The following is a 26,793-nucleotide window of genomic DNA, read 5'->3' as shown; positions in this document are numbered from 1 at the left end:
TATTGCTTGGCCTAATTTCCATATTGTTGCGCCTCAGGGAATAAGATATCCTGAGGAGAAGGAGAGAGATGGGGAACAGCTTGTCGGTGGAGTCATCAGAACACACACAACATTCGTTTAGTTCGCTGCTGTCTGATATGGGTGTGGTTCTTGGTGCCCCAACAGAATGACAATAGTAACATCAAAGATCACTGATCACAGATTACCATAACAGATATCACAGGAATGAAAAAGTTGGAAATAAGAGTTACCGAAATGTGACACAGGAACACAAAGTGAGCACACGCTGTTGGATAAATGGCACCAATAGACTTGCTCGACATAGGGTTTCCACAAACCTTCAGTTTCGAAGAAACACAGTAGTTGCAAAGTGCAATGAAGAGAAGTGCAGTAAGATGAGGTATGCCTGAATGTAGAAGCCGTAAATGGCACTTTATTAATGTTCCCTGATAGGAGAATTCTCCCCGTTGGGTGTAAAATCTGAAAACGTTGAGGGAAGGGGCACACATCTGTAATCATGACAGATTCCATGCTCATGTCTAAGTACAAGTTCCCAGAGCAGCGTTTTCTGGGCTACGGAGGAGAGGTCAAGATGTCTCACTTCTGGCATAAAGTGCACTCCACGTGTGTTGGCTCAACACTCTAACAGAAAAACTTGTAGTCCCCAAGTTGATACTAGAATGGAGTCTACAAGAGACCTTTCCAGAATTCTGTAGGACAGGCTGTGTCTGACTGATGGGGAGACTGAGAAAGTCATAGCAATTCACTAGACACAGCCCACTGCTGTTCTTGGCCAAGTGGATCAGAAGCAGTACAGCAGTTCTGCATACAAATAAGAGGAGGTGAGGGGAGCTCAGAACACCGACCCAAATCCACAACATTAGGAGGCCAGCTAGGATGGCAGTCAGTCTTCCTTATTTTGGGATATCATAGTAAGCACAATGGGCTGAGAGGGCAAATGCCAATGCATAGGAACATAGGGGAGATTACCAAAATTACACGTGTGTGTGTGTGTGTGTGTGTGTGTGTGTGTGTGTGTGTTTATTCTCTGGACACGTTTTGAGAGTCTTGCCTATTCAAATAACTCCAACACAGAATCTGGTCCTTACTTGGCGCCAACTATTCTTTCAGCTTCTGTGTATCAAAAGTACTAAAGATCAGGTATAACTCCCTGTGAAGACATAGTTTTGAATAAAGCATGAGAAGGGGAGAGGTGTGAGCAAATTACTCGTCATTCCTGCTTGTGCCTTCAGGTCCCATTTGCACAAGATCCACTTGATGGGGTTGTCTGAAAATGTGTCGCTTTGCCCAGATTCGGGAATATACAGTTGTGGGTGGCAATTGGTGACATGCCATCATGGTGAGATGTTCCCAACGATTCTGTGCTCACCCCCAAACTCAAGTTCCAAGACCAGTCTTTTCTGGACTACGGAGAAGTACAGATGTTTACTTTCTGGCATCAATCCAAGTGAAGTTAATGAAAAGAAGAAGGGAGCATGGTCTCTCTCTAGAACACCACTGTGCATTGGCAAGAACCTCCTCTTGTGGCTTGTCGTGATCTACATAACATGTCTTGATATGCTGCACAAACACCCTCATGCACTGCCCCTTACTGCCTGCTATGGTTGCTTGCATCCCAGCCTGAATCCCCTGGAGAGATTTCTTCCCCTGTGGGACTGAATACCTGTTTTAATATAGGATATTTAAGGTAAAGAGCACCCCTCCAATGATTAGAAGAGACACAGATGGAAATAGGCATTTTATCACTTGCCGATCCTGGAGGGTACCTGGCACACCTGGAGGGCACACATGTGTGGCAGGGAGCCCAGGCAGGGAGAGAGAAAGGGACCCGTGGGCCAACAACCTTATGCGCATCCCAGGGGTTATCCAAACGGGTTTCCCGTGGGGAGTTTTAATTGGTGGGCTTAAAGCAGGCAGACACATGTTTCAGGAGGTCACACTATGACTGAGCAGTGGTCATTGTGGCCTATCTGTGCAAACTGTGCAGGGTATCAGGGTCAGTGGGGCTGGCCAAGTAGGCTATATGTACATCTTCATATGTACAGACCTGAAACATCTCATGATGTTTCTTAAAAAGAGGAGGTGGCTTACATGGAATACAACTGATTATAGGTTGATAATGAAGACACATAATACGCATGTATGTATGTGTGTGTGTATATGCATGTATGTACATTTTAACATGTATATTTATTATCTTACACACACACACACACAGAGAAATAAATTCTCCTGCTTCATTTATGTTTCCAGCATAAACTCTTAGGAGTGGAATTTCCTGTTCAAAGGTTTCTGATGAAGATTCAATCCATTGAGTTTTAAATCACTTTTCATGTTTCTCATTTGAATAGCCTAGTTCATAGCACATACCACTTCACAATTGGTGTCTTTACAACCGTCCATACCAATGTCATGGTATTTCCCCTGTATTTGCTTTCACTGAGGTCTTGTGCACCAAGGTCTTGTGTCTCTCTATACCACTACTTGTGTCACTCTCCTAGTGGATGACCCATAAGACACCCCGGCCTCTCTGCTCCCCGACTCCTCTCGTCCTCACAGTCAAACCTCAGGCTTCCCCTCAAGTTTCATTTCTCATCCCCAACCCTCCCTCCTCTGTTTCATCTCCTTTGCAAACACCATCACCTGTCAAACTTCATTCACTTTGTCATTCTCCGCTGGCAAAACTGGAGTCTAGTAAGGCCCAGCTATCCAACTATTCTCCACCTGCACCCAAGTAACAGAACTCTGCTGCATAAATTATAACACCAAATGCAGCTATATAGACCCATACCAAAATAGGGACACACATTTCACAGGGACCACTCAATACTACCCAATAATCCTACTGTATTACCCCCAGGAAGTATGATTTTCCACAATCTGAGGTTATCTATGCTTCTAAATGTAACACAGCTGTGTTAATTTCCTAGGGAGGCCAAAACACATTACCCCAACTGGGCGGCTTAAGACAACAGAAATTTATTCTGTGGCAGTTCTGCAGGCTACCAGTCTGAAATCAAGTTGTCAGTGAGGTTGGTTCCTTCTGGTGAGCTCTGATGGAGAGTCTATTACAAGTTTCTGGAGGTTACCAGTAGTCATTGGTGGCTTTTCTTGGGTTGCAGATGCATCACTCCAAGCACTTCCTCCTTCATCTGATGGTGCTCTTACCTGTGTGTCTGTGTGTCCAATATCCCTCTTCTTATAATGCCACCACTCACTAGATTAGTGGTGTATGACCAATCCTAATGCTGTGGGACCTCATCTTAATTTGACTTTTTCGTTTTTTATTTTATTTTTTTGCAAAGACCCTATTTCCAAATAAAGTCACATTCACAGGTATTGGGACTTAGAACTTGAGCATAACTCTTTAGGGGCGAAACTGAACCCACAACAACTGCTCTTGTACATTTTGATTACTCCAATATTCTATGATTGTCAATGAAAAATTAGGACACACAGATAAGCAGACATTTCCTCTTATTTCTCTGAGAAAACAAAGGCCATAGCCGGGCGCCGTGGCTCACGCCTGTAATCCCAGCACTTTGGGAGGCTGAGACAGGTGGATCACCTGAGGTCAGGAGTTGGAGACCAGTCTGACCAACATGGTGAAACCCCGTCTCCACTAAAAGTACAAAAATTTAGTTGGGCACGGTGTGTGCCTGTAATCCTAGCTACTCAGGAGGCTGAGACAGGAGAATCGCTAGAACCCAGGAGGCAGAGGTTGCAGTGAGCCGAGATCACGCCATTGCACTCCAGCCTGGGGAACAGAGCGAGACTCCAATTCAAAAAATAATAAGAATTTTTTTTAAAAAAGAAAACAAAGGCCGTGAGACAGGAGCTCCTCTGCGAACCTCCTGACACCCATCCTGGCTTTCTCTTCCTTCTCTCTTGTAACAGTGAAAGGACATATCAGCCCCTTCCCAGGGCTGACCCTCCACTGAGCACATGGAACCATTCTCTTGACACATTTTCTCTGAGGATGTCGCTTCTGTTGCTATTGTCTCTCTTCGTCCTGCGTCAACAACCATTCTTTTTGAATCTTTGCTTCTAATGGAATAACATGCAAACATACACAAGAATCACCCATCTTAAAAACGTCACAGACAAGTAACTCCCATCTTTAAAAATGTGCATAGATAAATAAGCTTCCTTGGCCTCATTTCCCCTTCAGTCCCATTCCTCTGCATCCTGTCCCCCACAGCAAATGCTATTTCAAGAATCACCTCTGCTCACTTGCTGAGCTCCCATTCCCTCCTTATTCCTCTGGCATTAGGCTTTTACCGACATCATGCCCCTAACTTGCTCTTAAGATGGCAGGAAACCTCCAGGTCACCAAATCCAGTGGTCAATATGCTAAGCTCTCATCACTCAACCTCTCAGTGTTTGACGGAGTTGAGGACTCCCCATTTCTTGAAATAAGTTCTTCGGTCTTCTGTGTGACCACCCTCTCCTAGAAAGGCTCCTTCTCGGCTTCTTTTGCGAGATCTTCCTCCTATCAGGATCCCACGAGACTGCTCCAGGGCCCAGGCCCTGAATGGCTTCTCTATCCACACGCCAGCCCCATGGCATCTAACGGCAGGTAACTCCCAATCCCATATATATACTGAGTCACACACATGGTTGTCCCATAGACGACTCAAGGGTAAGGTGTCCAAAATTTCACGTGCCCTGAGCTTCCTTCAACCCCTGCACCTCCTTAAAACTTCTCCGTCTCAGACGATGTCAGCTCAGTTCACACAGTGGGTTAACATCATATCCCTGCCATAACCCTTAGTTTTCTCCATTTTCTTTACACTCTTCACGCCATCCATCAGCAAAAACTATCAATCCTTTGAAAACATACCTGTAGTCTCACCACCTCTAAAGAATGATTGAAAAAAAAGTCACTGGGTCAAATGTTTTAGTTTCCATCATGGCACAGAAGAAAGCAGAAAGAACCAAAGAGACAGCAGCCACTCAGACATATGAAAACATGCCCAAAACCCTTCCATGTGTCCCTGCTGGCACAAATAGAGCTAATAACGGATGCTGCAGCAAGAGATTGGTGCTAAGAAATCGCCTTAGAAAGAGGTAAGAAATAGCCTTCTCTGGCAAACTTCACTAAGTCAGACTCAGCCTCCTCTGCAGGGTTCAAACTCTGTTGGCAGAGAAGCTACAGGTAGATTCCAGCACCAGGAAGACAGGTCCCTGCTGAGAGAATACTGCAGAACAAAGAAGGGGCTCTTCTATACCAACCTGCTGGAAACACTGTGAATGATCTTTGTGGTAGGAGGTGCCTCCAGAGGCCCGGAACACATCAGATAAGAAATGGCTGCTGGACCTGAATGCCAGGGGATGAATTCCACTGGGCCACAGAGCAGCTGTGCGCCCCCTCTTTCCTGTTTGTGTCCCTGACTTGGCTGTTGAATGGACACGACGCTACTGGGACTTCTTTCATAGGATTCTTTGTGAGCATTAAATGACGTGTGTGTCCCAAGGCCCTTAGCCCAGTGCTTGGCATATACAAGGGCTGGACACAAAGTAGATTAACAGCAATTCTGAACAAGGATGCCATGCACCCCATTAAACCTTCTCACATTTTAACTGTCTCCCATGAACAAAATGCACACCTTCACAAGTATCCATGAAGCAATCATTCAGTGCCAGATTCCAGCAAAGATATAACCATGTGATTCGCCTTCTTGGCTTCTAGTGACCTGCATGTTTCACTCTCAAATCAGGGAAACTGACTCCGACTGAAAATATTGAAAACCATCTGTTCGTGGTCACTGCCATCAAAAACCTCTTATCAGAATCACCTGCTTACATTTCTTTCTGTCACTAACTGCTAGACGGAAATTCTTACTTATTCATATGCTTATCAGAGTATTTATTGTCGGTCTCTTCCCACTTGTATGTCAGCTTCATGACTGCAGAGCTTTTGTTCGTGGTTGCTTTTTCCATCTGCTGGGCCTTCAGCATCTAGAACAGTGCTGGGCACATGGTAGGTTCTCAATAAATACCACAGCAATTAGTTGAATCAGAAAAGGGTAAGATCCTGAACCATTCCAGCAACCTGAGAAAGGATCTGGTTTTAAGGCAATTCACACCAAATCTGACTACTTTGCTTTGCTTTGTGCATCTACCTAAACAGTATTGGGCCTCATTCAGAATTATGTTGCAGCTGGCTGTAAATGTAAGAGCTGTAGTTTTGAAGACACTAGATCCCGGCTCAACTCAACTTTTTCCTGGCTTTGCAACCTGTCCCCAGGAGTGTGACCACAGCAGAAACTTATAACGATTATAGGCCAATAAGTTGGGTTCTCTTGCATGTCAGTGACTCAGCCTCCCTTGTGTACATGAATTGCACCATGGAGTAAAATGTTACTCCTTCCATTACAAAAGCTACACTGGAAATAAGTGTAAATAAACACTGGACTAGTGTTTAGACAAACATTTCTATCAGAATAGAGTGACAAGGTTTAGATGACATGTATCAATACATGTATTATTCATTATGATTTAATGGATGGGGACAATTCCCATCCATGGGAATTTTGGGATCCTCATGTGATGGGAGTTTTCCCAATCCATATCTTTGTTTTTGAAAACACAATGAGTGTATGGATGGCTTTTATTTGTTACAGAATGTCAATGTTAGCTCTCTGTTGTCTTAGCTTGGTCTGCTATAACACGATACCACGGAAATTTATATTGCACAGTTCTGGAGGCTGGCAGGTCCAAGAATAAGGTGCTGACTGATTTGGTTCGGGGCAAGGGCCCTCTTTCTGGATCGAAGATTGTCAACTTCTGGCTGTTTCCTCCAATGGAGGAGTGGAAGCAAATGCTGGCTTCTTTTCCTCTTCTTCTAAGGATACAAATCCCATTATGGGGCTCTAGTCTCATGACCCCATCTAAGCCTGACAGCCTCCCAAATGCCCCTCCTCCATATATGATCACATTGGGGATTACGGCTTCAACAAAGGAATTTTTGGGGAACACAGATGTTCAGTCCTCCTAACCACTGTGAAGTATGTTCTTTATGCTGTCAAAATAGCTTGTACCTTTCCTTTTGTTTCCTTTCCTTTTCTTTTTTATCTTTTTTTTTTTTTTTTTTTCGAGATGGAGTCTCCCTATGTCGCCCAGGCTGCAGTGCAGTGGCAGGATCTTGGCTCACTGCAACCTCGGGCTCCTGGGTTCAAAGGATTCTCCTGCCTCAGCCACCTCAAGTAGGTGGGACTACAGGCGCGCGCCACCACGACTCCCTAAATTTTTTGGCATTTTTAGTAGAGACAAGGTTTCACCATGTTGGTCAGGCTGGTCTCAAACTCTTGACCTCAGTTGATCCACCCAACTCGGTCTCCCAAAATGCTGGGATTACAGGTGTGAGCCATGCACCTGGCCACCTTTTGTTTTCTTTCAATGGAACTTCAACAATAAGGTTATGCTTTTCACCCTTTGTATATACAGTAGGCCTTCAACTATGCAGAGGATTTGGGGAATGAAGTTTCTAATTCACCTCATTTAGGGTCGACTGGGGCAATGCTCTTAGAAAGTGAAACCACGGTAGGATGACGTTGCCCCAGCAGGGTGAACTCTTTTCCTCCCCCTTATGAGACCAACAAGAGTGCTAACTGATCTGAGTCCTCAGTTATGGATGTTTAGACTGATAGTCCTTAACCAACCCCAACCCTTCACTCTTCTGGCCAGGCCAGCAGCTCTGGAAAGAAACTCATGAAGCATTTAACCCAGGCTGTCCTAGGTGACTATTACAATGAAATGGTGACTAAAAGCCAGTTCTGTGAGCAGTTCCAAAGGCAACAGAGAGCCTTTTTCTCTAGCCCTCCCATCCCTGTAGAGCAGGGCACCCAAGTTTAGGAAGGCAGGCATGGAGCCTGCCAAAAAATGGTTCCAAGGAGGCCTCCTGCAAGCCAGGGTGCATGAGAAGAGGGAGTTAGAGAACAGATGGAAGGCTGTCCACAGTAGGAGAGCATATACGGTAGGATTGTGCAAAGAAGTAAATACACAGAGGATAATGGAAGGTAGGGTTCCCCAAAGCTGAGAAGGAAACAATACACATGGAAAGGTGGAAAGAGAGGAAAACATGGAATAAACTCTGTATTCCTGGGCTGGATACTGGAGGTTTACGTGCAACCTCAAGTTTGCCAACAGAAATAAGAGCTTCAATTCAAAACATCATATTCTCCAACACCAAGGGAACAGGGATCCTTCTAAATAGGGCTGATTAAGTAGAATTTGAAATTTTGACAAAACAGAGAACTACACCCTAAGCATAACAAAGAGGGGTTGTTTACATTCACAGAGTATATCCCTTTGGCAGATGTACAGTTAAAGATTTATGCATCTCACAAGAGGAGTGAAATGACAAACCAGAACCTCTGAAAGCTACAGGTGGTTAGAGGATGAAACCACAATCACGATGAGAGGCTTCAATGTACCCCTTTGATTAACAGTATGCATTATCATGACAGCGAGAACACTAGGTTCAATCTATTGGGCCATGATTAGGCTCCGGGTACCTAAGTATAACTTTATGTTTTAGAATCATTGCAGGCATCAGGCCAGAATTGGCAGAAGGGCCATAGTTTGCCAAACCCGGCTAAAGATCATTATCTTATTTCATTTTCTTCATTGCATGTATCACTAAATGAGCTGAGAGGCATCTGATATCAGCACATCTGCAACGCCTTCACGGCATGGGGCAGTTGGAAGCTCCGTGGCAGAACACTGGCGCCCCAGAAACTCGTGGTGACAGGTCCCTGTATTTTCAATCCAAATCTTTTGTACGTGGGGAAAGCACGTTTCTGACACAGTCTACTATTTCCTAGTCCCTGAGTCCTTCCGTCCTTGTGCCGTGAGGTCATCCATTTAGGGACACAGGTGTGATGGGGGTGAGATGATCAAGGACCATTCATTATCAATTGTGGGAAAGAGCCTTGGCATAACACATCCCTGAGGCAAAATATTCAAAATGAACCGCTTGGTCTGCCTTATGAAAGCAAAGCAGTTCTGGGCTTTGCTATTTGAAAGAAGATAGAGGAAATGTATCCAATCCCTGCCCCACTGCCCAGCTGAACTGCTGCCTCCCAGGTGATCTTCAGTCCTGTGAGGAAGTTTGTGAAACAGTGGCTGTGACTGAATCATCAGCTGATTGGGCTTATCATAATACATTGTAACTCCCAAAGAACATTCTTCCACATCAAACAAACTGCAGAATTAAATGGGGAGGTAGTGAAAGTCATGACCCTTGCATCTCTCAAGTCCAACGTGGACTGCTCTGTAATTCCACAGGGTGTGGGGTTGCTTTTGAATGACGACATTCACAGGGACCTGGTGTTGCCACAGCTCCCACTTACCCCTTTCAATCATAGGAGCTACTGCTGCATGGGTCAGGAAGCCGAGGACGGTGGGGGTGCCGGGGGGGTGGGGTTGGGGCATTGAAAGAACACAATTCCATTAGGGCCTGGAATTTTGTCCTTTTGGTTAAGGATATAACTCTAGAGCCTCAACAGTGCCTGGCACATCAAAGAGAATCAGTAGGATTTTGTGGAGTGAACCAGTGAGTGAAAATGGGAACTTTACAAGACCTTCACTGTTTCTATCAAGCGGGAAACAAATCCCTGGATAACTGAGAGGTCTCACTGGATCTGTAGTGGAAAGTCAAAACACAACTCTGTTTATTCAAGGACCGGTGGTAATGGTGGAATTATGAATCACAGGACTCAGGGTAAGTTTACAACGACACTCAAGCTATGCCCAAAGGTCTGAATATATCCCTTCCCCTAGGTCACAGCTACCTGGTTAAATATTCTATTAGAAGAAAGCATGAAGTTTCCTGGAGTTTACTTGTGGGATTTTAGTATAACCTTTCCCAGTGGGTAAGCAGCTTGTCCTTCCCTCAAGGGGCTCTGTGTTTGTACGTTTCTTCGTGACTTCACATGAGCTGCACCCCTGCAACAAAGTGGCTCACAGAGGCTCATGTACAGCAGAGTCGACTTTCTATGGTTGTTGGTGTTGTTTAAAAATCAACAGAGAGGTCTTAGTGCATTGCTCAACAATTTTATTCCTAAGGAACCAGTGATGAATGAACCACAGGTAAGTATCATTGCTGGCCCAGTCATTCAGTCATTGAACTTAATAACATTTTATCTGCTCATTGAGTCTGCCAGGCACTCTTCTAAGTGCTTGGTGATGCTTTAATGACAACAGAAAAAAAAAAAGAAAGAAAAAAGAAAAAAAAAAACCAGATTAAAAGACATCCTGCCATTGTGGAGTTTACATTCTAGCATGGGGAAGAAGGAACAAGTAAAACAACAAACACCGCAAGTTATGTGGGTGACAGAAGATGAAAGAGGCTATGGAACAATACAGGTTGTACAGGCAGCATAACGGGGCTCAAAACTGAAGTCAAATTGTAACTTTAAATCATGCCTTTAACATGCTGTCCCTGATGCCTTTTCAGTTAAATGCTTTGGCTCCGACGTTCCCTTTTGGGCCGTCCCAGGCCTCCGTCATCCTGGAATCCGCTGCTGCTAATGGGAAATATGGAATTCAAATTTAATGGCCGTGTTCATTTTAATTAAGAACTCCTTTCCTCCAGTGACTAGCAAGCTAATTTAGCATGCTTTTTAATTAATAAGTTATTTCCCTAAGCTGGGTTCCTGGTCCAGTTGGACTGGCCAGTGTCTCAATTAGATTTGCCAGAAAAGTCATATATAAAATACTATTTAGGCTTACTAAGCTAACCTTTTAAGTTAAACCAGCCCCTTTACTGCTCATAAAAGGAAAGATAAACAGAATAAAAATGCTTTGTCATTACGATTTATGCACTGGGGTGATAGAAATCGCTCTCCAAATAAAGCAGAACTGAATGCTCTCCACCATGACCACATTGACGATATCATCTACTTGAGGTACGTATCCATCAGGAAGTTTCACAGAATCCAAGGTGAAAAAAATAGTATAATCTATCACCCCATTTCTTCCATGTACGCTAGTAATGCAGACCTGTGAGTATAAATAATGGAAATGATTATGGAAAAGCCCAATAAGCACTGTAACCAGCTTTGCACCTCCTCACCCTGGGTCCTGCATGAGTGCAGGTCACTTCGATGCAAATCATTGATTTCCAACCTGGTTGGCCCATTGCTAACACCAGGGGTGCTTTGTAAGGATACCCATGTCCACGCTCCACCTCAGACCAATTAAATCAGACTCTCTGGGAATGAGGCCTGGGTCTCTGATGAGAAATCCTGCTCTAAATATTACCAAAATATGTCCATTACCCTCTGTTGCCTTGAATTGCCTGTGCATATTCAGGCTTTAATAACCAAATCATTCTTAGCATCTACTGGTCAGCTCAAGTCCCACAACACACTCCGTTCATTCTTTCCCTATAGTTTTCTGGCACAAAGATTGTTTTTCTTCCTCCTGTCCTTGGAAGATTCTAATAACATTTGGGTATCGAGTAAAATGCACAATTTAGAACTTAATCATGTGCTTGTTCTATATAATTTTCTAATTATTTCCTTTGGAAAATTCTGCCTTTTCAATAAGAAAAGTGGCTCCTTTGTTGGCAAAGAATGTATTTCTTCATATTTTCTGGAATTCCCATTACACCCAACAGAATCCTGGGCACGAAAGTTACCACCAAAGGAAGGGTTCGCAGAAACTTATGGTGGGAGCAACAGGAAAGTAATTACCGCTTCCGCATGAATGCAATGGGTGGACTTCACAGAGCTTGCCTTGAAGTTTGAGAAGCCTGGTTCAGTGGAATATTCAACTTTTAACCAGTTACCTTTATAAGGCACAAAATCTAAAACAGCCATGGAGAAATGTGAGTGTCATGATCTCTTAACTAGGTCAGGTTTAATTTCACATGTTATTTGATAGTGTACTACTTTAAAGTCAGTTCTGCTAAATCTAAAGTCCATTTTGTGCATATTTAAACAGACACACTGTAAATCTCTAAGTTCAAAAAGTTTTAATCCTTAGGCATTGATTCTCCTCTACTGATTTAACAAATTTAAATGGAGCAAAGTGTGAACAGTGCATCACAGCCAATCTGATGGAGCAGCACATGTTTTACTAAACAACTGTTTGTGTTCCAACTCCTTAGTGAGAGGCAGTCAAACGTGTAGGTAAGAGCACAAGTTTGAACCTGGCCATGTGCGTTCGAATCTTGACACTGCCACTCACTCAGTTTGCAACCTTAGCCAAGGTGCTTAACTTCTCTGTGCCTCGTTTTCTTCATCTATAAAATGAGAAGCACGATAAGTCGCCTTCATGATACACAGCTGCTGTGAGAATTAGTTGATATGTGCGATACGCACAGAATCATCGCTGGCGCATAGCAACCACAAAATATCTGTTGATTGGTAGTAGTGGTAGCAGTACCACTAGGAAATGTTGTTACTTTCAGAATGAATCAATTTCCCCTGGTGTTGTGTTCCGCTGATGAACTCTTAAGTATGTGCCTTACAGGTTACAGTTAAGACCACTGAGTTTCAAACAGAAGTTTACAGTAAGTTAAAAGTGAGTCACAGGATAACAAAGGTACATGAAAGAATGTGGAGCAAATGGAAATCCCAACTGCAACTGAGACACTAAGTTGCCACAATGACTCCAGAAAACTAGCAATATCAACAAAGTGAAACATTTATTCACCTTAGGACCCAGCATTGTAGACTGATACAAGACACAGGGTTAGAACTCTTCTCTCTTTCTCTCTCTCTCTGTCTCTGTCTCTGTTAATTTACATACATTTCTTTTGTGTGGGTTTACTGTATATCTATGGGCCAATAACTCCAAAATGTATATGCCTCCAGCTCTAACCAACCTCAGGGTCAATTATCCATATGCTTACACCAATCTAACGTGTGTAAAGCTGAGTTGTTGGTATTCTCCGTATTCACCAACTTTTGTTTGCCTCAGTCGTCTATATCACAACTGGCAACTCCACCCTCACCACTGCTCAAACCAAAAACTTTGGAGGTACCTTGGACTCATCTTTTCTCCACATCAAAGATCTAATCCATTACCTCCTGGGTTCTTCTCTAACTTCAAAATATATCCAGAGTCAACTCAATCCTCAGGTTCTCCACTTCTCCATTTTCATTCACATCTCCATCATCTCTCACCAGGAATATTACAACGTTTTCCTGACTCCACCCTTCCCCTCATAGTCCCTTCTCGACAAAGCAGAGTCAACATCTTTAAACAAAATTCAGGTCAGAATCCTGCTTTTGCACCCAAGAAAACAAACTAGTAAGCTGCCTGGGGAAGCGGAGCTAATCTCCCCTTTTTTACCCAAGCTATATGGCAGCTGCAATAGACAAAAATAACACAAAAAAGTGTATCTTTGGGTATAAGCTAAATATTAGATCACATCTGCTGATTACAAAGAGAATTCAACAACACACACACACACACACACACACACAGAGCCAAAAGGCGCTATCTCCAATCTCACATGTGAAGCATTTGAAGTGTATTTTAAAATTAGGTACAGATCTTTTAAAATTAGGTACATATCTCTAATAACCAACTACAGACAAGAAACTTCTCTAGTAACCAACTACAGAAATGATCCCTGCAAGTATAGTCTTTGAAGGGTATTAAAAATAGTGTCTCTGTGTACTTGTAGGATTGTTTCCATGATTAGAAATTAAATTCTTATGTGAATGAAAAATATATCCAGGCATTACTGAGGGCATTGAACAAATGAACACACAATAGACGACAGCAGACATTTTATAATACTGCCTATTTGCCCCTATATTGTACATATTTTCAACTGGAAAGGTCTACCTCTAACATTGAAGAGCCATTGACTGAAGCCAAGTACACTGTAAGAGTTGTTCTAGGATTAAAATCCTCTCAAAAAATTAAGAATTACATCATATATCTCAAAATGTAAATCGTACCTTCAGAAACAATGTCTATGAAGAAATAAATGCAGTTACTAATATAAATAATGTCTTCACATATAGAAGTAACACATCCAATTAAAACTCTGGTTCCTGAGTCTGAGGGTCCAGCACCATAAAGATGGCGAGGCACAACATCCACCTGTAAGACTTAGGAAAGAGTTACTTCAAAAACAATACAAATTTAAACACGAGAACTTACATGATTAAAACACTTGTATTTGAAAATATTTTCAACAGCCATCCTAAACACTGGAGAATGTAGTTCACTTGATAAATGGACCATTGACTTGAGATGACAGTAAAAGTCATGTGCGTGCTTCAAGAATTGTGAAATGTATCCCAAAACATTAATTGCATACCCAAGTTTAATGTCCTTGTACCATTAGATTCCAAGATTAAAAAAAACCTTCCTTCGCCTGCAGAAATTCACAGTGAAATGATAGTAAAGTGGAAAGATATGTAGTCATAAGCAGATTGTGATGAAAGATAAAAAACTAGTTCAAAGATGGTTTCTGTGAATCATCTAGATGGAGAACATTTCAGACACGGAGAAAATAGGAGCATTGCTTGGGGGAAGTCAGACTAGTGCTGGGTTGTGAAAGAAGATAGAGGTGTAACATTGTAAACAGGGGTAGAGGAGCAGGGAGACAGAGAGGAAATACAACAGAATTTAGGAGCCTAGGGAGCAAAACCCTAACATCCGAGATCCAGGCCTAGGAGAGAGAAGCATGAGATAAAGTTGAAACAATAACCTCAACTGGGGGAGTTTCAATAACCAAGTCAAATTAGGGCTTTACTTTATCTACAATAGAGAGGCATACAAACCTTTTTCCTTATTGGAAGTGTAATAGTCCTTCTTTTATAATCCTTAAAACTTACAAAAATAATGCAAGTTCATTGTACTAAAAGTAAGGAAAAAAACAGATAAGCAGACAGCAAAAGGCGGTTACCCCATAATCCATATTCCATTACTAAGAGATCACCAGGGACTACATTTTGGCAGTAACACTGATTCTTATGTTTTTGTCTGTGCCATATATGTATGCCTGTTCTAAGAGTAAATTAGCATTGTATTTAGTATTAAAATATCACATTAAATGAGCACAAAAGTTTTTAAATAACAAGAGAGGACGGAAAGAGTCATAGGGAATCCCAATTAATGGATGTGCCGTAATTTACTAACCCAATTTCACATAATTGGACATTTCACTTGTGTCATAGCATTTGGACTACTTGCCTGACTTAACTATAGGATAAACTCCTAGGGTTGGAATTTGCTGATCAGAGACTTCTAATGGAAACTTGAGCCACTGAGTTATAAAGCATTTTTCATGGTTTTAAAAATAGCCTACTTTGCTGCTATTCCCATTTCTCAACTGGTGTCTTTCCAACTGTCAATACCAACCTGATGTTTATTTTCCCCTCACTTACTGTCATGAAGGAATGAAGCATTAGCCTCCCATCCACATATCTATCACCACTTCCGTCAGTATCGCAGTGGATGATCCACAGCACCCTCGGACCTCTCTGTTCCTTGACTCCACGCCAACTCACAGACATATGCAGACTAAAGCTTTGCCCATGTTTCGTGGCTCCCAACTCTGTCTCTTATGCCTTGCAAATACCACCAACACAATAGCAGGTACAGACATATTCAAATGTTTGCAATAATGTGTTGTACGACAGAAGTGGCATTTCAACAAAATGGGGGCTAAGTGGATTATCCAATTAATGTTCAGGGCAACTAAATAGCCAGTAGTGAAACAAGACACCCATCCTTCTCTCAGTCCTACACACGGAAAGCAAACCCAGGCTGACTGTATCTTTAGATGTAAATAAATGAATGACTTTCAGAAGAAAAGCTAAGTGAATACTAGTGTAAATTGTGTGTTAGAATTAGCCTAAGGAAACTTCCTGAGCCCAGAAGTCACATGGACAAGATGGACATATTTATAGTAGGTAAAAATTAAACAGATGGAGGAGGAGGGGAGCAAGATGGAGAAATGGGACTCTCCAGTGATTGTCCTCCTGTAGAAACATCAATGTGAAAAACTATCCTTGTATGAAAATACCATCACTTCAGAGAAGGAAACCAGGTGAGAGACCACGGTACCCAGTTATAGCATGAAAATAAGAAAAGATGCATTGAAGAGGGTAGTAAAGACAGTTTTACATTACCCATACCACCCCTTCCCCAACCTTCAACAGCACAGCATGGAGAGAGATACCATCCACCCGGAGGAGAGAGAGAGTAGCAAGCATAGGACATTGCCTGGGAACCTAATATCAGGCCTGTCACACATATACGCCATCACTTGACAGACGCCCATGGCCCCTGACTCCAAAATGGTACTTGTGGACAGAGTCTCTAGACTCATCCTGGCACCCGACAGGAAGCTGCAGCCATAGCAAAACAAACCCAATATCTGGCCCAAGTCTCTGCTGAGTTATTCCAGTGGACTTATGCTCAGAATAATCTACAGCAACAGTGAGTCCTCAGTGAATGAGTGGAGCCTTGGATTCCAGTCTCGCAAGGCACCAGCCTCAATAGCTAAGGGATTGCATGCCATTGCGGCATCTGTTGCTGTGTCCCTGTGATTAGGAAGCTCCCTAGTGCTTCAATAGCTGTAGCGTTCACAAGCATAAGGACCAAAAGAGACCTATATAGAGTTTCTGGACAGGCTTAGTGCCAAAGGATGTCCCCCAAAAGCTAGACTGTAAAGACTAAAATGAATACCTACTTCATCAATACCCAGATATAAACACATGATCACAAAGATGAAGAACAATAAGGAAAACATGACATCACCAAACTGACAAAACAAGGTGCCAGTAATTGACCCTAGAGAGATAGGAATGTATGAGTTGTTTAATAAATAATTCAAAATATCTATTTTCAGCATGCTCTGTGAACCTTGAAAACAATTACAGAGAAATGATTCAGAATTTAACAGAGGAATTTGAGAGAAAGATTGAAGGAATTTAAAAATCCAAACAAATCCTGAAATCAAAAAACACAATGAAGGAAATACACAATAGAGAACATCCAGAGGACAATTGATTGAGCAAAAGAAAGAATCTGTAAACTTGGAGACAGCTTCATTGAAAATATACAGTCAGAGGAGACAAAAGAAAAAGGAAGGACACGAAATGAAAATAAAAACTTACTGAATTTCTGGGACAATTATCAGCAGAGCAATAGTATGAATCTCTCACATTCAAGAGGGAGGAGAGATTGAAAAAGTGGTAGAAAGATTATTTAAAAAATAATAATGGAGAGCCAACTAAACCCACAGAAAGTTACAAACATCTGGGTACTGGACGACCAAAGTTCTGCATTCAGATGCAATCCAAATAAGATTACCCCACGACATATTAACATCAAACTGTCAAAGTTGAAAGAGAATGAGAGGATCCTGAAAGCAGCAAGAGGAAAGAAGCGAATCGTATACAAGGCACTTCTAATATGCCTACCAGAAGACTTCTCAGCAGAAGCGGAATAGGCCAGGAAAGAGTAGTATAGTATATGTAAGGAACTCAAGGAAAAAAAATCTCTAACCAAGAATAATGTACCCAGAAGTGAAGGGGAGATAAAGACTTTTACAGAGAAATCACAGCTGAGAAACTTCCTCATCACCACAACTGTCTTACAAGAAATGCTAGGGAGAGTTCTTCCAACTGACATAAGGGACGCTAATGAGTAACGCAAAAACATCTGAAGGTATAAAACTCACCAGTAAACGTAACTACACAAATTCAGAATACTCTAATAAGGTAATGGTGGTTTCCAGATCACTTATATCTTTCATGTAACAGATAGAGAACTGAACTAGTAAAAATAAAATAATTGCAATAATTTGTTGAAGGATATAAAATGTAATAAGTTGTAAAGTGTAAAATAGAGAACTCAAAATCTGGGGGTGGAGTTAAATGGTACAGTGTTTGTATTTTGTGATCAAAGTTATGTTATCAGTAAAATAAACTGCCGTGATTATGTTTTTGTAAGCCTCATGCTTACCACAAAGAAAAAATCCTGTAATAGACACATTAAAACAAATAAAGAAAACAAAACATACTAATAGAGAAAAATCTCTTATCCATCAAGGAAAACAGTAAAAGAGGAAGAAAGGAAGAAATTACCTACCAAATAGATAGAAAAATGTTATCTAAATGACAACAGTATATCCTTACCTATCAATAATTAACTTGATAGAAATGGATGACATTCTTCAACTAAAATACACAGAGTAGCTGAATGGATTTAAACAACAACAGCAACCAAACCTATGAGAGACCCACTTCTCCTTTAAGGACATTCGTAAACTGAAAGTGAAGACATGAAAAAAGATATTCTTCCATGTAAAGGGAAACCAAAAGAGAACAGGAGCAGCTAAACTGACTTCAAATAAAATAGGGTTTAAATCACAAACTGTAAAAAGAGACCAAGAAGGTCATTATATAATGGTGAAGGGGTCAATTCATGAAAAGGATATAATGATTTCCAAAAATATGCACCCAACATAGCAGCACCTAAATATATGAAGCCAATATCAAGGTCTAAATGGTGAGATAGAGTGCAATGCAATAATATTAGGGGACTTCAATACCCAACTTGCAGCAATGAACAGATTGTCCTGAAAGAACATTGACCCCCCAAAAAGTCGGGTTTATCTGCACTCCAGACCAAATGGACCTAACAGTCATTACAGAACATTCCGTCCAAATACTGCAAAACACGTATTCTTTCCAACTGCATGTGGAACATACTGGAGGATAGATTATGTGGAAGGTCATTGTAGGGTCCAGCTCCACAGGGTCGGTGGGTCTCTCCCCGTGTGTGGAGACGAGAGAGTGTAGAAATAAAGACACAAGACAAAGAGATAAAAGAAAAGGCAGCTGGGCCCGGGAGACCACTACCACCAAGTTGCGGAGACCGGTAGTGGCCCCAAATGCCAGGCTGCACTGATATTTATTGGATACAAGACAAAGGGGCAAGATAAGGAGAGTGAGCCATCTCCAATCATAGGTAAGGCCACGTGGGTCACGTGTCCACTGGACAGGGGGCCCTTCCCTGCCTGGCGGCCGAGGCAGAGAGAGAGAGAGGAGACAAAGAGAGAAACAACTTACACCATTATTTCTGCTTATTAGAGACTTTTAGTACTTTCACTAATTTTGCTACTGCTATCTAGAAGGCAGAGCCAGGTGTACAGGATGGAACATGAAGGCGGACTAGGAGTGTGACCACTGAAGCACAGCATCGCAGGGAGACGGTTAGGCCTCCGGATAACTGCAGTTGAGCCCAACTACTGTCAGGCCCTCCACAACAGGTGGAGGAGTACAGTCTTCTCTAAACTCCCCGGGGGAAAGGGAGACTCCCTTTCCCGGTCCGCTAAGTAGCCGGTGTTTTTCCTTGACACTGAGGCTACCACTAGACCACGGTCCGCCTGGCAACGGGCGTCTTCCCAGACGCTGGCGTTACCACTAGACCAAGGAGCCCTCTGGTGGCCCTGTCTGGGCATAACAGAAGGCTCACACTCTTGTCTTCTGGTCACTTCTCACTGTGTCCTCTCAGCTCCTATCTGTGTATGGCCTGGTTTTTCCTAGGTTATGGTTATAGAGCGAGGATTATTATAATATTGGAATAAAGAGTAATTGCTACAAACTAATGATTAATGATATTCATATATAATCATATCTAAGATCTATATCTGGCATAACTATTCTTGTTTTATATTTTATTATACTGGAACAGCTCGTGCTCGGTCTCTTGCCTCGGCACCTGGGTGGCTTGCTGCCCACAGGTCATAAAAAAGGTCTTAGGAAATTAAAGGAATTTGAAACAATATCAAATCACTTCTCTAACCACAATAGTAAAATACTAGAAGTGAATAAAATTAGGAACTTTGGAAACTTTAGAAGTGGATGGAAATTAAACAACATGCTCTTAAATAACTAATGGGTCAATGAGGAAATTAAAAGCGAAGTGTTAACATTTCTTGAGATGAAGGAAACTGAAGGCACAACATACAAAAACCCATGAAATACAGCAAAAGCAATTCTAAAAGTGAAGTTTACATCAATAAAGCCTACCTCAAAAGAAAAGATACATCTTAAATAAACAACCTCACACTCCACCTTGAATAACTAGAAAAAAAAAGAAAAAAATGCAATCCAAAGTAGGAGGACAGAAATCATAAACGTAAGAGCAGAAATCAATCAAATAGACATGAGAAGAACAATACAAATATCAATGAAACAATCAGTTGTTTTCTTGAAGAGGTAAACCAAATCAACAAAATTTTAGCTAGACTAAAAGAAAAAAGGGAGAATATTCAAGTAAATAAAATCAAAGATGAAAAAGGAGATAGTACAACTGACATCACCAAAATAAAACGGATCATAAGGACTATTGTAACAATCATCTGCCTACAAATAGGACAAGCTAGAAGAAATGGATACATTCCTGGACACATACAGCCTACCGAGATGTAATAGTGAAGAAATGGAAAATCTGTTCAGACAATTAACAAGTAAGGAAGGTGATTCAGTAATAAAAAAAAATCCCCCATCAATGAAAAGTCTAAGAGAGAATGGCTTCCCTTCCTAATACTACCAAAATTTCTATATAAAGAAGAAGAATTAATAGCTATACTTTTAAAACTCTTTCAAAAAAACAGACAAGAAAGGAACACATCCAAATGCATTCTATCACATCATATTACCCTGCTAGAAAACCCAGACAAAGAAACACAAAGAAGAGAAAACTGAAAAAAAAGAAGTGCCAAAATTCCTGATGAACATAGTTGCGAAAATCTTTAAGAAAGTATTAGTAAACCAAATTCAACAGCACATTAAAAACATCATTCACCGTGATCTAGAGGGATTCATCCCTGGGATGTAAGGAAGTTTCAACATACACAAATCAATAAATGTGACATATCGCATGAACAGAATGAAGCACAAAAGCCATAGGATCATTCCAATTTAAGCAGTAAAAGCATTTAACCAAATTCCACATCCCTACTTGATAAAAGCTCCACAAATTAGGTATAGGATGAGTGCACCTCAACACAATAAAGGTTGTATATGATAAACCCACAGGTAATGTCATACTGAATGGGGAAATGTTGCAGGCTTTTCCTGTAAGACCTAGAACAAGACAGAAAGCCCACTTTTGCCCATTCTATCGCACATAGTTCTGGAAGTGCTGGCCAGAGAAATTAGACAAGAAGAAACAAAAGGCATCTAAATTCAAAAGGAAGAATTTAGATTGGCCCTGTTTGCAGACTGGAAGTTCTTACATATAAATAACCCTGAAGACACCACCAAACAGCTACTAGGTCTAATAAACAAATTCAGGAAAGTGGCATGACACACAACCAACATGCAAGAATCAGTAGCGTTTCTATACACCAATAATGAACTATCCGAGAAAGATATCAAGAAACAATCCCATTTACAGAAAATTCAAAAAATAGAATAGGAATAAATTTAACCAAGAAGGTGAAGGATTGCAACACTGAAAACAATAAACCATTGACAAAGGAAATTGAATGAGGCAGGAATGAATGGAAATATATCATGTGTTCATGGACAGAAAGAATAAATATTGTTAAAGTGTCCATAACCTAAAGCAATCTACAGATCCAATACAACTGCTAAAAAAATACCAATGACATTCTTCTTGGAAATAGATGAAGCACTACTAAAATTTGTATGGAACCGTGAAAGATTCCAGATACCTGAAGCAGTCTGGAATACAAAGAACAAAGCTGGAGGCACCATACTACTTGATGTCAAAACATATGACAAAGCTACAGTAAGCATAACAGCTTGGTACCAGTATAAAAGCATATACTTCAACCAATGGAGCAGAATACACAGACTGGAATGAAATCCGTGCTTTTACAGTCAACTGATTTTCGACAAAAGGCCCAGGAACACACAATCTTGAGAAAGTACAGCCTCTTCAATAAATGATGTTGAAAATAACTGGATATTCATCTGAGAAAAATGAATTTCCACCCTTATCTCTCAGCATGTATGTAAATCAACTCAAAATGATTTAAAGCTTTAAAAGGAAGACCCAAAGCTATGAAACTACTAGAAGGATACATAGGGAGAAAAGCTCCATGACATTGTTCTGGGCAACAATTTTAAAAATAGGACCTCCAAAGTAAAGACAACAAAAGGAAAAACACACAAATGGGATTACATTGAACTAAAAAGGTTCTGCACCACAAAGGAAATGATCAAAGAGTGGAGAGACAATCTACAGGATAGGAAAAACATTGACAATCTATACATCTAGTAAGGGGTCAGTTTATAAAATGTATGAGTAACTCCAACTCAATAGCAAGAAAAAAAATAATCCTATTAAAAATGAGCAAAAGACCTGAATAGACATTTCTCAAAATGAGACATACAAATGGACAATGAGCATAAAAAAATCCTCACCTTCTCTAATCATCAGGGCAATGCAAATCAAAACCACAGAGATACTGCCTAACACATGTAAGAGTGGCTAACATTAAAAAGACAAGAGATAACAAGTGTTGACAAGGATGTGGAGAAATTGGAACCTTTATGCATGGTTGGTGGGATGTAAATTGTTACAGCCATTATGGAACACAGTATGGAGGGTCGCCAAAATTTTAACAATGGAACTATCACATGAATCCATGAATCCCTCTACTGAGCATGTATCCAAAGAGAGTGTCATCAGTGTGTCAAAGAGATGTCAGCACTTCCATGTTTATTGCAACCCTATTCACAACAGCCAAGAAACAAAAGCAATCTAAGTGTCCATCTATGGATGAGTGGATAAAGGAAATGTGGTGTAAATACACAATGGAATACTATTCAGCCATAAAACAGAACAAAATCTTGCCATTTGGGATAACATGGATGAACCTGAAGAACGATATGTAAGTGAAATAAGCCAGTCACATAAACACAAATAACTGCATGGTCTCATTCACATGCAGAATTTAAAAATTTGACCTCATAGCAGTGTAGAGTAGAATGGTGGCTGCCAGATGCTTGGGTTGTTAGGGTGGATGGAGGAATGAGGAGATGTTGGTGAAAGGACATATCATTACAGTTATATAGAAGGAACCTTTTTTATCTGTCCAGAATGGGCAAATATATACAAACAGAAAATGGATAAGTGATTTCCTGGGGCTGGATGTTGTAGGGGGAGGGGACAGTGGGGGATCGGGGAGAAAGGGGAAGACTATGAATGGTTATGGAGCTTCCTTTTACAGTGATGAAAATGTTCTAAAGTTGTTTGTGGTGATTGTTGCCTAACCCTGTGAAAAATCTAAAAACCACTGGATTGTACCCTGTAGATGGGAGAATTGCATGGTGAATCACGTGACTTATATCTCAATAAGGCTGTAAAAGAATGAAAGACATAAAGCAAAGAAAAAAGATGGTATCAGAGGAAATACTACAAGGACGTCACATACAAACTTTCCTATTACAAATCTAATTTTCCTACCATAGAGATAGCGGTAAATTTTCCTAATGTATAAGTAGGTCTAAGAAAGGAAACCTGCTGTAATCTCATTAAGATCCTTAATAATTCCAAGTGAACGATGAGACTGCTTTCCCCTTCTCATATTTGCAAAGATTTCAGATCGAGAATATTGTCGTCCTTGCCTATAGGGGCAGAGAGGCAGTCTCACCTCCTATTGCCGAGAGAATCAATTAGTACAGTACAGCTAAAGAATAATTTCATAGTAGCCACTGAATGGGTAAACATCTGGACTCAGGTGATGTTCTCAGGACTCCGTAAATCTGCCAAATGTTATTGAATTGTACCCTTAAGAGAGTTCTGTGGTTTGTGAACTATACCTCCATGAAGCTCTTTTTAATATGTTTACAAGGCACATGGTTTCACATAGCAATTCTACTGCTATGAATGCACACAATAGAAAACGTTTTTTTTACCTGATAAAGGAAGTTGCAGGATTGTCTAGAGTCCAATAATTAATATTGTTACCCATACTGTTTAAAGATTAGAAGAATAGATGAGTAATTTTTATGTTTTAAAGCAGATATCACTACAAATATTAGAACACAAGAACCTACAGCTTCAGAGGGGTGGGGCTTCAAATTGCAGTCTACATCCACTCTACGGATCACAGTAGAGATGTTGGATTAATACAAGAAAAGAAAGATGCAGAAAGAAAGCCCAATGGGATAAGACACAACTCCCAAACTCATGCACATTTCACCTTGATAGCTCTCAATCCATAAAGTATTTTATCTTCCTCCACAACCACATTAACTTTTTGTCCAACTTTTAGAGGCACGTTGCCAGTCACAACATCACTACTGAAGTAGATCGACTCATCAATCATGCCATAATCACCACAGAAATGTGCTTTTCCCATGTGGGAGAGAATTGGCTTGAATATACAGGGACCTGTCCCCACGAGTTTCTGGGGCTCCAGTGTTCTGCCATGGAGCTTCCAACTGGCCCCACGCCGTGAAGGCGTTGCAGATGTGCTGATATCAGATGCTTCTCAGCTCATTTAGGGATACATGCAATGAAGAAAATGAAATAAGATAATGATCTTTAGCCGGATCTGGCAAACTATGACCCTTCTGCCAATTCTGGCCTGATGCCTGCAATGATTCTCAAAACATAAAGTTCTATTTAGGTAACTGGAGCCTAATCAGGGACCAGTAGATTGTACCTAGTGTTCGTCTCATCATGATTATGCATACTGTTAATCAAAAAGGCACCTTGAAGTCTCTCATCATGATTGTGGTTTCATCCTCTAACCACCTGTAGCTTTTAGAGGTTCTGGTTCGTCATTTCACTCCTCTTGTGAGATGCATAAAAGTTTAATTATACATCTACCAAGGGGATATGTTCTATGAATGTAAACAACTCCTCTTTGTTATGCTTAGTGTGTAGTTCTCTGTTTTGTCAAAATTTCATATTCTACCTAATCAGCCCTATTTACAAGGATCCCTGTTCTCTTGGTGTTGGAGAATACAGTGTTTCAAATTGAAGCTCTTATATCTATTGGCAAACCTGAGGTTGCACGTACACCTCCATTACCAGCCCAGGAATATGGAGTTTATTCTATATTTTCCTCTTTCCACCTTTCCACATGTGTTCTTTCCTTCTCAGCTTTGGAGAAACCGACCTTCCATTATCCTCTGTGTATTTACTTCTTTGCACAATCCTACCGTATATGCTCTCCTACTGTGGACAACCTTCCATCTGTTCTCTAACTCCCTCTTCTCATGGACCCTGGCTTGCAGGAGTCCTTCTTGGAATCATTTTTTGGCAGGCTCCATGCCTGCCTTCCTAAACTTGGGTGCCCTGCTCTACAGGGATGGGAGGGCTAGAAAAAAGGCTCTCTGTTGCCTGTGGAACTCCTCACAAAACTGACTTTTAGTCACCACTTCATTGTAATAGTCACCCAGGACAACCTGGGTTAAGTGCTTCATGAGATTCTTTCTAGAGCTGCTGGCCTGGCCAGAAGAGTGAAGTCTTGGGCTTGGTTAAGGCCTATCGGTCTAAACATCCACAACTGAGGACTCAGATGAGTTAGCACTTGTGTTCATCTCATAAGAAGTGGAAGGGAGTGCACCCTGCTGGGGCAACCTCATCCTACAGCAATTTCACTTCCTCAGAGCTTTGCCCCAGTTAACCCTAAATATGTGGATTAGAAACTTCATTCACTAATCCTCTGTATAGTTGAAGGGCTACTGTATATACAAAGGGTGAAAAGCATATTATTTTTGAAGTTCCATTGAAAGGAAACAAAAAGTGGCCGAGCACGTTGGCTCACGCCTGTAATCTCAGCACTTTCGGAGGCTGAGGCGGGCAGATTACCTGAGGTCAAGTGTTTGAGACCAGCCTGGCCAAAGTGGTGAAACTTCGTCTAAAAAATACACACAAAAAAATTAGCTTGGCATGGTTGCATGCACCTTAGTCCCAGCTACTCGGGAAGGCTGAGGCAGAAGAATTTCTTGAACCCAGGAGGCGGAGGTCTCAGTGAGCCAAGAACATGCCACTGCACTCCGGCCTGGGCAACAAAGGGAGACTCCATTTCAAAAAAAAAAAAAAAAAAGAAAAAGAAAGAAAGAAAGAAAAGGAAACAAAAGGTACAAGTTATTCTGACAGCATAAAGAACATCCCTCACAGTGGCTGGGGGACTGAAAATCTGTGTTCCCCTAAAATTTCTTTGTAATTCCCAATGTAATCATATAGGGAGGTGGGGCCTTTGGGAGGCTATTAGGCTTAGATGGGGTCATGAGACTAGAGTCCCATAATGGGATTTGTATCCTTAGAAGTAGAGGAAGAGAAGCCAGCATTTGCTCCCACTCCTCCATGGAAGGAAATAGCCAGAAGGTGACCATCTTCAAGCCAGAAAGAGGGCCCTCCCCAGGAACCGAATCAGTCAGCACCTTATTCTTGGACCTTTTAGCCTCCAAAACTGTGCGATATAAATGTCCGTGGTATTGTGTTATAGCAGACCAAGCTAAGACAACAGAGAGCTGACATTGACATTCTGTGACAAATAGAAGCAATCTATACACTTATTGAGTTTTGAAAAACAAAGATATGGATTGGGAAAACTCCTATCCCATGAGGATCCCAAACTTCCCAAGGATGGAAATTTTCTCCATCTATTAACTCATAATGAATAACATACTTATTGGTACATGTCATCTAAAGCCTTGTCGCTCTATTCTTATAGAAATGTTTGTCTAATCACTAGTCCAACTCTTATTTCCAGCGTAGCTTTTCTAATGGAAGGAGTAACATTTTACTCCATGGTGCAATTCATGTACATAAGTGAGGCTGAGTCAC

The 26,793-nt window shown here is 41.2% G+C and overlaps 2 pseudogenes; both read right to left on the bottom strand.

Annotated features, from left to right (window-relative positions):
* On the bottom strand, positions 10,841 to 24,342 carry LOC650024 (cancer/testis antigen 55 pseudogene; annotated as a pseudogene).
* LOC124905298 (uncharacterized) lies at positions 13,556 to 13,628 on the bottom strand (annotated as a pseudogene).

Source organism: Homo sapiens, chromosome X, assembly GCF_000001405.40.
Source record: "Homo sapiens chromosome X, GRCh38.p14 Primary Assembly".
Classification (NCBI taxonomy): Eukaryota; Metazoa; Chordata; class Mammalia; order Primates; family Hominidae; genus Homo; species Homo sapiens.
Note: the sequence above shows the minus strand (reverse complement) of the source record. Positions and strands in the feature narration are given on the sequence as shown.